The 13,924-nt window shown below is 54.2% G+C and overlaps 1 annotated feature.

Annotated features, from left to right (window-relative positions):
- Positions 3,156–3,657: an enhancer, noted in NCBI's record as "H3K4me1 hESC enhancer chr14:104768907-104769408 (GRCh37/hg19 assembly coordinates)". NCBI's record gives its function as "activates a minimal SCP1, AML or CMV promoter by ChIP-STARR-seq in naive H9 embryonic stem cells {active_cell/tissue: H9 hESC(naive)}" and the evidence as "EXISTENCE:reporter gene assay evidence [ECO:0000049][PMID:30033119]".

Genomic DNA, 13,924 nt, shown 5'->3' on the forward strand with positions numbered 1-13,924 from the left:
CCCACCCATTCCATCCACCCACCCACCCATTCCATCCATCCAACATTTACTTTGATCCCGCTGCATTCCTGTACTCAGACTGAGTGACAGTTCTCTGTACATAGCGTCCAGGGTGGTCACAGAGGGAAGTTCTGGGGTGGGGATGGGGCAGGCTGTGGCAACTCAGAGGAAGCCCCTGGCCCTAGCCAGGTAACAATAAAACAATATTTTTTTTCAAAAAAAGCCACCTATGAAATGTGTTATTAAACCCAATTTAATACAAATGTTTTGAAAGTCCTTGCATATGAAATTTGAAGACTAAACGATTATCCTTTGCCAGATCCCTAGTTTGGTTCTGGAAAGTAGAGTCTGTGCAGCTCGAGGAATTTCTTAAAAATTTCCTTAGAAGTTCTGACAACTGGAACTGGGTCCCCAGAGGCAGCTAGAAACAGGGTGGGTGAGGATTCTACAGTGATAATAATTTTAATAAAAAATGCTGTGACTTTATTTGGGTACCATAGGCATGGAGATCTGTTTTGCCAAACAGTGAAGCAAAAAGTCTGAGCGTGCTGAGCTGCTCTGTTTGCTTTCAGCTGTGTGGCACTGGCAGGCAATGTGATCTCTCTGAACCCCGGCTTTCTCCTGGGCAAACGGGGATGCTGGTTCCAGCCTGCGGGTGGCTGGACTCAACAGGCATTGCTTGCATCCTACTGTGGGGCCACTCCACAGGCAGGTGTTGCAGGAGAGGGACTGAGACGCATCACCCCAGGTGGCCGTGGGCGGAGAGCGCTACCCTCGCGTGGCCTGGTCTGTCCCAGCTCCTGGCTGGCCCCGGTGGAGGAGGGCAGGGTGGGTTCTCTGCTTCGGCAGGGAGCTGGCTCTGCTGTTATTGGGTTATCTCATTTGCAAACAATAAATGTCATGAGCAGGAGACCCTTGTCAGCCTCCCCTTCCAGGATGCAAATGTAGCCTTTATCCGCCTCTGCCCTTTATTAAAACAACCACGGAGCCAGCGGACAAACAAGACAATTAGCTGTGAATGATGTCATCTCCTTCTACTTTCTGTAATGAGGCCCAGGCCCTGGCAAGGGTGGTGGCGGAAGCTGGGAGAAGCCAAATCTGATTAAAGTGCGATCAAGAGGCAATGCTGACCTTTCGCTTTCAGCCACTGACCCAGCGCCTGAGAGCTGGTGCGACAGTTGGGACAACGGTGCGATGTCACAGCGATTACCTTTAACCAGGGGATATAGACTGTCCCCCGTGAGGAGGCACCAGTGGACGTCAGTCCCCAGACCCGTGGGGTGCGCTAGGCAGGGGCCGGGTGGTGGCCGAGCTTTGACACATCTCCTGGGGAGGGCACCCACTGATGCCACTGCATGGTGCCACTGCCACCATGACTATTAGTACTACAATGGCCGCCACTGCTGTGTCACCAATACCACCACCACTGCTACCATTACTACCACCACCACCATGACTACTACTACTACCATGAAGACCGCCACTGCTCTGTGACCACGGCCACCACCACCACCACCACCACCACCACCACCACCGCCACCACCACCACCACCACCACCACCACCACCACCACCACCACCACCACCACCACTGCTACTATTTTTTTTTTTTTTTTTTTTGAGACGGAGTATCACTGTGTTGCCAGGCTGGAGTGCAGTGGCGTTATCTCGGCCCACTGCAACCTCCATCTCCCGGGTTCAAGTGACTCTCCTGCCTCAGCCTGTTGAGTAACTGGGATTACGGGTGCGCACCACCACGCCGGGCTAATTTTTGTATTTTTAGTAGAGACGGGGTTTCACCGTGTTGGCCAGGCTGGTCTCGAACTCCTGACCTTGTGATCCACCCGCCTCAACCTCCCAAAGCGCTGGGATTACAGGCGTGAGCCACCGCTACTATTACTATCACCGCCACCATGACTACTACTGCTGCTGTGATGAGCGCCCCTGCTCTCCTAGGACCACCACCGCCACCACCACCACCACCACCCCGGCTATAACTACCACTATCACTGCTGCCACTGCTACTGCTATCACTACCATTACTATGGTCACCACCACCTGTATTAATACCACTACTACTATCACTCCTGCCACTATTACCACCGGTAGTGCTGTTACTGCTACCACTGTCACCAGCACGTCCACCACCCCTCCTACTCCCACTGGCAATATTATCACTACCACCACTGCTATTACTATCACCCTCCTGCACCCCCACTGCTACTGTTACCGCTGCTGCTGGTAGCGGTGGACACACTAACCACGTGGACGACCTGCCAGGACCTCCTAAGCACACGGTACTCCAGCTGCCTCATTTCCTGGACTCACGACGGTGCTGTGATGAGCTGGTGGCCACATCTCCATTTCACACAGGGGAAGCTGCACCAGGGCCCTCAGGGGATCCGCCCCAGGCCGCATGGGCGGGGAAGGGGAGCTGAGCCGGAGCCACTCCACCTGGTGCCGGGCCTGTGCCCTTTCCAGGGCAACCGATGTCTCAGAGTCCTGGCCCCAGAGCAGAGAGCCTCTGCACCCTGGAAGGTCCTGCTTGCTGGAGTGAGGGGCCTGCGAGGACCGGCCCTGTTCTCAAGCCCAGCCGTGGACCTGCGTGGGCTGCCTGGCGGGCCTCATTCTCTCTGCAGTGGGAGAAATGTGCAGTCAACCCTGAGCGAACGTCTAAACCTCCAAACACACCACGACTTTCAAAGCCTCATTTTCTATCCCGAGCAGCCTCGCTCTGTGAGACGGGCCCAGCTGCTGTGTCCGTGGCCACCTGCCTGGACTGGGGTTGGCTGCTGCCGACACACATGTGCTCTGTGTGAGTGCGCATGTGTGTACCACGGTTGTGTGGACAGGAGGGTGGGCACGGACCCTCGGGGTGGGTTCTGTTTCCCGGGGAGAGACAACACCCAGGCTCTGTGGGATGCTGAGTGGAGCGGGAGGCAGGCAGTGTGTGTTCACTGGGACAGAATTCTTCCCTCCCCACATCCCTTTCTTCCTGAGACTCACCCAGATTGAGCGCTGACGCTCTGCAGCCCTGGGTGGCCCCAGCAGCACCCCCAGCCCAGCGTCAGCCTTGGGGAGAGTCATGGTTAACAGCACAAACTGTGAACCCAAAGGATTCGAATCCCAGCTCTGCCTCCCATGAGCTGTGTGACCTTGGGCAGCTGACTTAAACTTTCTGAGCTTCTGTTTGCTCATCTGTAAAATGGGGCAAACGGCAGGATCTCCCTCATGAGGTTGGTGTGAGGGTGATACGCACTAAGCGTAGCTAGCACCCAGCAAATGTTTATGTTATTGTTACATTATCACAGAAAAATGCACCAGAATTTAAACAACGCTGACAATAAATATGCAGTCGATGATGACTTCCCAGAGCTCCAGAAGCAACTCCAGCACACGGAGAGGCGCTGATGTGCCTGTCAGGTGCTGCTACTGAGGAAGCCGTTGCTGGTCTCCGGAAGCTCTTGTATCCCCAGGAGTGCCGTCTGCCTGGCCTCCCCATTCCTGCAGTCCCGGTTGTCATCTATGTGGGCCAGGCCATGAGCCCTCCAGGCAGGCTGTGCTTCAACCCATCCCCTGCACCAACAGCAGCCTGCTCATCTCCAAGCTCAGCTCAGCCCAAGAGCAGAAAGGGAGTGTGCTGGAAGCAGGTTCAGGAAGATGAGCGTTCATGGGCCGTCTGCATGCCCTGGGCTGGGGAGCTCTCAGTGGGAGCCACGTGGGGTCGAGGATTGGGGGAGGCTATGCAGGCCCAGGGGCCTCGGGCTTTCGAGCTCAGGCTCTGGAATAGCCTTCTTCATGCACCCCCACACAGGGACTGACACTGATTTGCAAGAATGCCATTTCGAAATTTCACATCACACTTCCACCATGGCCCCAGACAGCAAGCCCGGCCCAGCCCCAGACAGGCAGGCAATGGGCATCTGCTCATCATCCAGCACCCTGGAGAGAGCAGGAATGAGTGCCGTGGTCCAAGTGCGTTCACTGGACTCTAAGAGGGGAGTGGGAGACCTTTCTGGAGACCCTTCCCTGGTGTATCAGTTTGCCAGGGCTGCCATAACAAAGACCGTAAACTAAGTAGCTTAAAACAACAGAAATGGTGTTCTCCCACAGGTGTGGGAATCCAAAGCCCACCTTCGAGGTATGGACGGGGTTGGTTTCACATAGGAATTTTGGGGGGACAGTTTGGCCCAGAACCCCTGGAGAGGAAGCCTAGAACCCACAGAGGGTTAGCCCTGAAGGCAGGTAGAGTAGTGCCAGGTGGGTGACCCATCCCTTAGGGGTGCCCCTCTGGATCCTGCTGGGCCCTGGGAGGAGATGGCCCCAAGTGGAGCTGGTGGCAACTGGCCGTCCCCTGCCAGGGTTCCCCTGCTGGAGACCGTGGTGGCTGAGTCATCGCAGGTCCTCAGGCCGGTCTGGGTGGACGTGGAGGGTGCTCAGGATGTGTGGCTGGATGCACCAAAGAATGAACGAGCGCCCTGCGGGAAACACGGGGAGGTGAGCCGGAGACCCCTGCTCTGCAAGCTGCCCGGGTCTGGCCAGCGGGCACTAGTGTGGGAGTTCAGCTGGCAACCCCCGACAGCCTTCTGAGCACGGCCCCCTTACCAGGTGCCGCCGCTTCCCAGCCTCCAGCCCCACCCCACCTCGGGGATCCTGCCCAAGGTCTGCTCTGCCCGGAAGTGAAGGAGAAGCCCGTTCTCTTCCCCCTCGGGCTGGGGAAGAGCTCACAGCCCAGGTCACGCCACAGAAATCCCCTCCTCATCTGGCCCTCTGACTCCACCTTTCCACGCTGTCCGTGGGACCAGGGGCTGAGCCGTCAGCGGCCGTGGACCTTGCCTTGATCCCACACTGGGCCCCGAGCCACTTTCTGCACATGATCTCTCCCAACCGCATCATCATCATCTTCTTCCCAAGTCCCCAGTGCAGCCCTGGGGGCCTGTCCTGTGAGACCCCTGAAGAGAGAGACCCCGGCAGGGACACTCTCACTGTGACAATGTTGAATTTACCTGAAGGTTAAGAAACCCTCTATTCTGGTGTTCCGGAAAACAGCTGATGGCAGCGGGGAGCCCCCTTGCCCGTAAGATGCTGGAAAACACTCCCAGATGCTCCTCATTTCCAGGGCCAGGCCCGACACATGCCCTCGAGTTCTTGTGTGGCCTCACGAGTGACTGGCTGCTCAACTGGAAGGAAAGGCGTGTTACTCAGCCTCGGTTCAGCTCCTCACTCCCCTCGAGCCCCGAACCTTGGCTGCCCTCACTCGAGCCAGCAGATGCCTTCCTGAGAACAGGCGCACCAGGGCCAACCACGCTTGGCTCTGACGTCTCTGTCCTGCAGACTGTCCCCGCTTCCCCACGCCACCTCCTCCCAGCTCTGTGGACGCCTCTTTCTAAAAGAGAAGCCCTTTCCCCTTACCCTGGAGAAGCCTGCAGCCCTTTGGTGAGGCGGGGGCATTCTCCCACTGGATTGCCCTTCCAATCCAGTGTCACCTGTGGCGACAGCCCGCCTCCCCCTTGCAGTAACCCTCTTGAATAAACGCCTCTCCTTACCAGTCTGCCTCTGTCCTTTCTTTGATAATGCAGAGGAGACAGAGGAGGCCAGGTGCAGTCCGACTCAGGGGTGGCTGCAAGGTTGGCAGGGACTTCGGTGACCCCTGTATTAGGGTTCTCCAAAAATGCCAACAGAGCCTGTGTGTGTGTGCATGCATGTGTATGCATATGTGTGTATGCATGTGTGTACGCATGTGTGTGCACACGTGTGTGTGTGTGTGTGGATGTGTGTTTATTATAAGGGATTGGCTCATGTGGTTATGGAGGCTGGGAAGTCACTGGATGTGCCGTTGCCAAGTTGGAGACCCAGGAGCGCCAATGCTGTGAGTTCCAGTCCCATCCAAAGGGGGAAGACAGATGTCCCAGCTCAGCAGTCAGCAGAGTCAGTTCTCCCTCGCTTCACCTTCTTGTCCTGTGCAGGCCTCCGACCTACTAGACAGGGCCGCCCACATGGGGAGCACCCCTGCTGGACTCAGTTCACTGACTCCAGTGTTGATCTCCTCCGGAAGCAGCCTCACACATACCCAGAGTCATGTTTGACCAAATGTCTGGGCACCTTGTGTCCCAGTCACATTGACACATGTAATGACCCATCACAACCCCTGAGAGCACCGGCTTTGTGAACTGGGCTGCTGCGGATGGGGCGGGGTGGGAGGTGTCCCAGGGCTCTGGAAACCTGTGTTTCAGGGTCACATGGGTGCTGAGGTCACCATGCCACTCCCTGGCCCTGGTGGCTGTGTCAGCCCTGACCCCGGACTTGACTTGGGCCTCAGCCCTTGTGTTGGAGACGCCAAGTGGCAGCCCCTCGCCTGCTCACCTTCACTCTTAGGGGCAGGATGCTTCGGCCAAAGCCTCTGCCTTGACGGCATCGCCTTGATGTGAGCACACGTGGCTCGGAGAAGCTCAGGGTCTCGCTGCACTTGGGCCTGGCCGCAGGTGTGTGTGTGGCTGCCCTGTGTGCAGGGTGTGCATGCACAGCACTCTGACTTCCCGTGCGCTCCCAGCTCCCCAGCACTCTGCTCTGCTGCATCCTTGGGGCCACAGCGAGATGTGAGATCTGCAGCCAGGATCTGGGAGTGACCATGTGACAAGAAAACCTCGGCCCCTTCCTTCCCCTGGGGAAGCCCGGGGGCCTTTGCCTGCTCAGGTCTGCTGGGCCCTTGTGGCCACAGTGAGTGGTCATTTCCACAGCAGGTTTTGTGACCGTGTCGGCACTGCCCGATGCATGGGCAGAGCCACCAGCTGTCGGGCAGACGGGCAGCTGAACCCTGGTTTTGACCCTGGGAGATGGGGGCCTTCATCAGCTGTTTGCCGGTAGCTGCCCTGAGACTTGCTCCTGAAACAGAAGAGGGCCTGGAGCCTGTGCAGATGGCCTGGGGAGGCTGGTGCGAGGGTGGGCGGCGGGGAGGGCAGAGCAGGCAGGGGCGCCGGTGTGCTGGGATCTCTGAAAGCACCAGCTCCAGTATTTCTTTTGTCAAAGGCAGGCATGTGGTTTGGTCCCTAGAATAAAATCCCCCCTTTAGTCGCCAGAGGCTTGGATTTTCATGCCTGCACTGGGGGTGAGGCTCCGAGGCTGATTCTTGACTCCTGGAGTTTTCAGCCCCTCTGGGGGCTCCTGGGAGGGATGAGGCTGCTTCTGCCATGAGGCCTGGACCCCTGCAGAGTTGGAGGTGTGGCCCAGAGCGGGGTGGGCTCGGTGACTTTCGACCCTTGCTGTGAGGTGAGCTCAGGAGGGAACTTCAGGACTGGGGGCATAGGAGGGAGCGAGAGGTGAGTGGCCAGGGCGGGTCGCGAGCACAGCGGGGCCCTGGGAGTCCAGGGGCATGACTACAACCTGGGCTGGAGCCCGGAGGGCACGTGAGGGGCTTCACCTGGGAGCCGGCTGGTCAGAGGTTGAGCTGGTGGTGCGTTCCTGCAGGGCCCTGGCAGCTGGGGCAGTGAGCCACAAAGGTGCCATGGCTGGTGAGGGGAGCACATGCAGCCAGGCGCAAGAAGCAGGGAGCGCCTGATGGGATGGCGAGGCATGGGCTACAGGGGCCTGTCCTGGCCCTGGGGGGTGCAGGGGTGCTGGAGTCATCAGCTTCCCTCTGTACCACATTTCAGTCCTCCCAGGAAGCAGAAGTGATGGTTCTCGGGGCTCCAGGGTGTGGTGGCGGTGACGGCCCCACAGGCTGCTGTCTGTGGGTTTTCCTCTCCTTGCTTGGAGCCACCTTTTCCCCTGCTGACTTTAGCTCATGGTCCCTTCAGTCTGGGAAGATTTATGGGCCTCCTTCTGGGTGCCGGGGACGTGGGCCAGATCAGGTGGTCTTGCCAGAGGGCTGGCGGTGGGAATGGGAGTGATCCTGACATGCAAACAGGAGTACCAGGCAGGGCCAGAGCCGTAGGGTCTGGGATTCAGCCAGCCTGGGGGCCTCTCCTGGGAGCTGCCCTGTTGGGGTTCCAGGGGTATGAATGCCCCTGGTGGGTGGCCCTCAGTTTGCTTGTCTTTGAAATGGGCCGTGACCAGGCTCCCCAGGGTGCCTGCCCAGTGCCAGGATGGGGTGTGAGGTTGGGATTGCAGCTGCCACCACAAGCCAGGCAGTAGGACAAACATGGTCTCAGAGGGTACGCCTGGGCACAGGTGACCCGGACACCATGTGGGGCAGCCGAAGGGGGCAAGAGGCTGGGGCTGGAATCCCACCAAAGGTGCCTGGCAGCCTGGGCAGGAGAGGGCCGGGGAGGGGGCTGCCCTCTGCCCCAGTGACCCTGCATTGGGCAGTCCCTGGGCCCTGACCTCAGCACCGCCCCTGGCCCGGCACCTCGTTTTTCCACTTGGACCCCTCCCTGGCTTCCTGGCCATGCCATCGCCTCATCCAGCCCTTCCCTGGGCTATCAGGGCTGGGCCTGTTTATGCAGCTGGGGCCAGAGGAACCAGCTCCAATGCCGAGACAACGCAGGCACAGCCATTAGTCATGGGTGGAAATCAGAAGTTAGACGAACCAAGGTCCGAACGTCAGGGATGGCGTTCGGGAGCGCAGGTGTGGGGCCGGGCCAGGCCGCAGGCTCCTTGGTGGGAGCCCCAGACTTGGGCCCATGGGCCTCCATCAGCCCAGCCACACCATCACCTGCACTGAGCCGAGCTCTCCCCCGGGGCTCGGATCCGCTGGGTGCTGATAGGCCCCTGTCCTTGGCTCAGGGCAACTCTGGGGAAGTCTGGAATCCTTTGAATGGTGCAGATTGCTGTGACTCACGGCTGTGGGGCCATGAGGGACTGGCGGCCGCCCAGCCTGCAACCTCGTTTTGAAACCTCAGGGTAGACCCCTGTGCAGCCCCAGGCCACCCTGGTCACTGCCCTCAACTGGGTCCTCATGCCCGAGCATGCTGTCCTGGGCCATGACCCTGCCCACGGGCTCTTCCTGCCCCTAGCCCAGGGACTCAGAGTCACACAGTGGATGGGACCCCACAGTCATGTAGGCCACATTCTGATTGTGTGGTGGCCCACACGCCTCCAGAAATGGGGCTTGCTGTTTGCCAGAGGCCAGAGGGCACAAAGAGGTCTCGGATTAGGCCCCTATATCCCAAAGAAGGATGGCTCTATATCCCAAAGAAGGACGGCTCTATATCCCAAAGAAGGATGGCTCTATATCCCAAAGAAGGATGGCTCTAGATCCCAAAGAAGGACGGCTCTATATCCCAAAGAAGGATGGCTCTATATCCCAAAGAAGGACGGCTCTATATCCCAAAGAAGGACGGCTCTATATCCCAAAGAAGGATGGCTCTATATCCCAAAGAAGCGTAGCTCTATATCCCAAAGAAGGACGGCTCTATATCCCAAAGAAGGATGGCTCTAGATCCCAAAGAAGGATGGCTCTAGATCCCAAAGAAGGACGGCTCTATATCCCAAAGAAGGACGGCTCTAGATCCCAAAGAAGGATGGCTCTATATCCCAAAGAAGGACGGCTCTATATCCCAAAGAAGGACGGCTCTATATCCCAAAGAAGGACGGCTCTATATCCCAAAGAAGTCCCCCTTGGCTGCCCACCCAAGGGAAATGGAAAGTTGATTGGCAGCATCTGCCAAGTCCTGGGGAGGGTACCCTATCCCGGAGCCCTGTGGGCCGGCAGCTGGTGCTGGTGCCCTGCAGCTGACCAGGCCCAGGCTTGGGCTGCTGGCATCCCTCCTGAGGGCACCTGCGTAATGATAGCACGATTAGACCCATACCCTGCAGGGACAATTCAGAGAGGCAGAAACTGTCATTGCTAATTGGTAATTCCATAAATTAGACAGTAAAGACAGATGTTGTGAGTATTGGAAAAACGCTGTCAAATAATTGGGTTATTCTCATAAGAGGAGAGGCGATTTGCTACCTGTCAAACAGCATTTCACCCCTGCCTGTTGCCTGCCTAGCTGGATAGAGGCTGGCTGGGGAGGGGCCCCAGGACCCAGGGCCCCTTAGAATTCTCCAGGGCCCCAACATCAGGGGGCAGGGAGCCCTACTGCCAGCTGGGAGAGGCCTAGGCTTCCCCATTCCCCATAGGCCCCTTCCTTACTGTCTTTCCCAGGGTGGACCTCCTCTCTGCCCCCCAGGCTCACATGAGCAGCCCCCTTGCCCGGAAGCTCTCTGTCTTCCTGTGCACCTTCTAGTCCTGGGAGACCCTACTGATGGCATACCTCCAGCAGGAAGCCTTCCCGGCCCCATGCAGATGCGGGGCCTATAGCCTCAACTGCAGCTTTGGGGGAAGCTTCAGGGCATGGGGGGTCTTGTTACTTCTTTCCCTCAGCATGAGCCCTACCTGCCCAGTGCTCCTGGAGGTGAGGAATCACATCTGCACAATGCCGTGGGCTCCATCCCACCTCCCACAGGCCTGCCCTGATGCCAACTGGGAGATGAAGTCACAGGTGAGAGGGCTCGTTCTGGGGCTTCAGCTCCTCCTGCAAGGCTGCAGACTCAGTGTGCACGAGACACATCTTGCCTGGAGCAGACAGCCTCGGGACAGGGAGCTCATGCCTTACCTGGAGAGTCTGGCCTTCAGCTCGATGCTCTGCCTGCTGAGAAGCTTGCTTGCCCCACTGGGGCCTCCCTTGTTAGAGCCTTCCCTAGCATGGGGGAGTGAAGGGCCCTGTAGAGAAGGCTGGACGTGGGCTTCACGTGGGACCTGGACAGGGGCTGCCTTGCCTCCCTGTGTCGAGTTGAGCTGCTTCTCCATCCTGGGCCCCAGGCCCCAGGGAGCTGCACCCTGGCCACTTGGCAGATTCTGGGACAGCCTCAGGCAGTCCAGAGTTTGGACAAGGAGAGGGCTGCTCTGGGGTAGGCAGTGGCCAGGCATTGCTCTCTGCTGCACCCCTCCAACTCTATGCACAGTTGGCAGGAAGCTGGGTCTCTGGGCCTGACAGCCCTGAGTGATCTGTGGGAGAGACAGTGTGGAGAGATGGACAGGGCTGCAAACATATCTGAAGAGAAGCAGGAAGAGACCTGGGGTGACCCCAGGTGGAGCTGCCTCTGCCCTCCCCTGATTGCCTGCTCTGGCCCATCTTCTCCAGGTAACAAATGGCCCTGAAGCCCACCTCTGGCATGCTTGCAGCCCCTTGGCAGTGCTGGGATGTAGGCTGGGTAGGGAATCCTTTATAGAAGCCCAGAGCAACAGATGAACTTGGGGAGGGCTCCCCTATGGAAGCGACTTTGGGACTGAGTCAGGGCAGGGAAGAGCACTGCAGGCAGGGACACGGCAAGTGCAAAAGCCTTGGGGTGGCAGGGAGTGCCAGGAGCATGCAGGGCTATGGCAGGGTGGCAGGGAGTGCCAGGAGCATGCAGGGCTATGGCAGGGTGGCAGGGAGTGCTAGGAGCATGCAGGAGTGTGGTGGGTGGGGTGGTTGAAGGGAGAGGGACAGTGTGGCAGTGATAGGGGGCCCCAGGGGTGGATGGAGCAGTTCATTTGGAAACAATACAGTCCATTGATCAAAAAGAATCTCAAAGGAAATTTTAAAATTACCCAAAACAGTATAAAAAACAAGCGAACTACAAACTAATAACCCCTCATGAATACAGACATAAAATCCTTACCAAAATATTAGCAAACAGAAGTCAGTAGTATATAAAAAGAATATACACTATGACTCAGTGGGTTTATTCCAGGGATGCAAGGCTGGTTTAATATTTGAAATCAGTCAATATCATTCATCATGTTAACAAGCTAAAGAAGAAAAAAAAAATCACATGATAGTGTCAATCTATGAAGAAAAATCATTTAACAAAATCCAGCACTCATTCATGATAAATTATCAGCAAACTGGGAATAGAGGATGATACGGTTTGAATATAGTTTGTCCCCTCCAAAACTCATGTTGAAATTTGATTGCTATTATGATGGTGTTGGGGAGTAGGACCTAATGGGAAGTGTTTGGGTCATGGGGATGGATCCCTAATGAATAGATTAATGCCATCTAACCACAGTGCATTCTCCTTCTCTCAGGACTGGGTTAGTGATTGTGACAGTGAGTTGCTATAAAGTGAGATTTCTCTTTGTGTTTGCTTTTGCATTGCACATGCCTGCTTGCCTTCCCGCTTCACCATGTCTCGATATAGCACAAGGCCCCCACCAGAAGCTGAACAGGGGCTGATGCTGTGCTCTTGGACTTTCCAGCCACCAGAATCGTGAGCCAAATAAACCTCTTTTCTTTATAAATTACCCAGCCTCTTAGGTTCTGTTATAACAACACTAAGTAGACTAAGACAGAGGTGAAGTTCCTCGTTTGCTAAAGAACATCTACAAAAACCCTACAGCTAACTTTATATACTTAAAATTATAACTAACTATGTAATTAATACTGAATTTCTTTCCCCAAGATTGGAACAAGTATATATATATATACTTAAAATTATAACTAACTATGTAATTAATACTGAATTTCTTTTCCCAAGATTGGAACAAGTCAAAGATGTGTAATTTCACCATTCTTATTCAACATAGTGCTGGAAGTTCTAGCTCTTGCAATAAGACAATGAAAGCAAATAAAAGACATAGTATATATATCTGAAAGGAAGGAATATGACTATCCCTACTTGCGGAGGTTGTCTACATAGAAAATCTGAAGGAATTGACAAAATATTCCTAGAACTAATCAGGAATTCAGCAAAGTTTCAGTGTACAAGATAAACATACAAAACTCAATTGTATTTCTATATCCTAGCAATGAACATGCAGATGCTGAAATTAAAAATAGAATACCATTTACAACTACTCAAAAAATGAAATAGTTATAAATTCAACAAAACATGTACAGGACTTGTGCTGAACAGTATACAACATTGATGAAAGAAATCAAAGATATAAATAAGTAGAGAGAATGACTATGTTCATGGATTAGAAGACAACATAGTAAAGAGGCCAATTCTCCCCAAATTGATATGTGGGTTTAATGCTATTCCTATAAAAATCCCAGCAAGCTTATTTTGTAGACACAAACAAGATAATTATAAAATTTACACGAAAACAAGAAAGACTTAGAATAGCTGAAACAATTTTGAAAAAGAATAAAAAAAAATCCTGCCATCCAATTTCAAGACTTTTTAGATAGCTATATTAGTCTAGATGGTGGTATTTGGTCAATTGGCTGAGGGATGGACCCACAAACCAATGGACTAGAACGAGAGAACTCAGGAGTGGAGCTACACAATAGTACCCAAATGATTTTTGACAAAGTGAGATCTCACAAAGTGCAAAAGTAATTTAATGGAGGACAAATAGCCTTTTAGCAAATGTTACTTGAGCAGAAAGAGAGCCTCAGTCTAAACATATCACACGTTATACAAAAATTAACTCAAATTGGACAAATAGTTTAAGTGTAACAGGTGAATCCAAGAAACTTTTAGAAAAAAGCATAGGAGAAAACCTTTGGGAACTAGGGGTAGGCAAAGAGTTCATAGACTTGACACCAAAAACATGGTCCTTAAAGGAAGCATTGATAAATTGGACTTCATCAAAATTAAAAATTGTCACTCTATGATAGAATCTGTTAAGAGGATGAACAAGCTACAGAATAAGAGAAAATATCTGAAACCACATACCTGACAAAGGATTAGTATCTAGTATATACAAAGTACTCTCAAAACTCAACAGTAAACAAACCTTAACAACCCAATTAGAAAATGTGCAAGACCCCTGCAGAGACATTTCATTGAAGAGAGAAGATAGATGGCAAATAAACAGATGAAAAGATGTTTGACGTCATTAGCTACGGAGGAAATGCAAATTAAAACACAAGGAGATGTCACTACACACCTGTCAGAATGACTAACTTTTACAAAGAATGAAAACACCAAATGCTGGTGAGGATGTGGAGAAGCTGGATGGGAATGTAACACAGTATTGCCACTCTAGAAAGACAGTTTGGCAATTTCTT

This window comes from Homo sapiens, chromosome 14, assembly GCF_000001405.40.
Source record: "Homo sapiens chromosome 14, GRCh38.p14 Primary Assembly".
In the NCBI taxonomy this organism is placed as follows: Eukaryota; Metazoa; Chordata; class Mammalia; order Primates; family Hominidae; genus Homo; species Homo sapiens.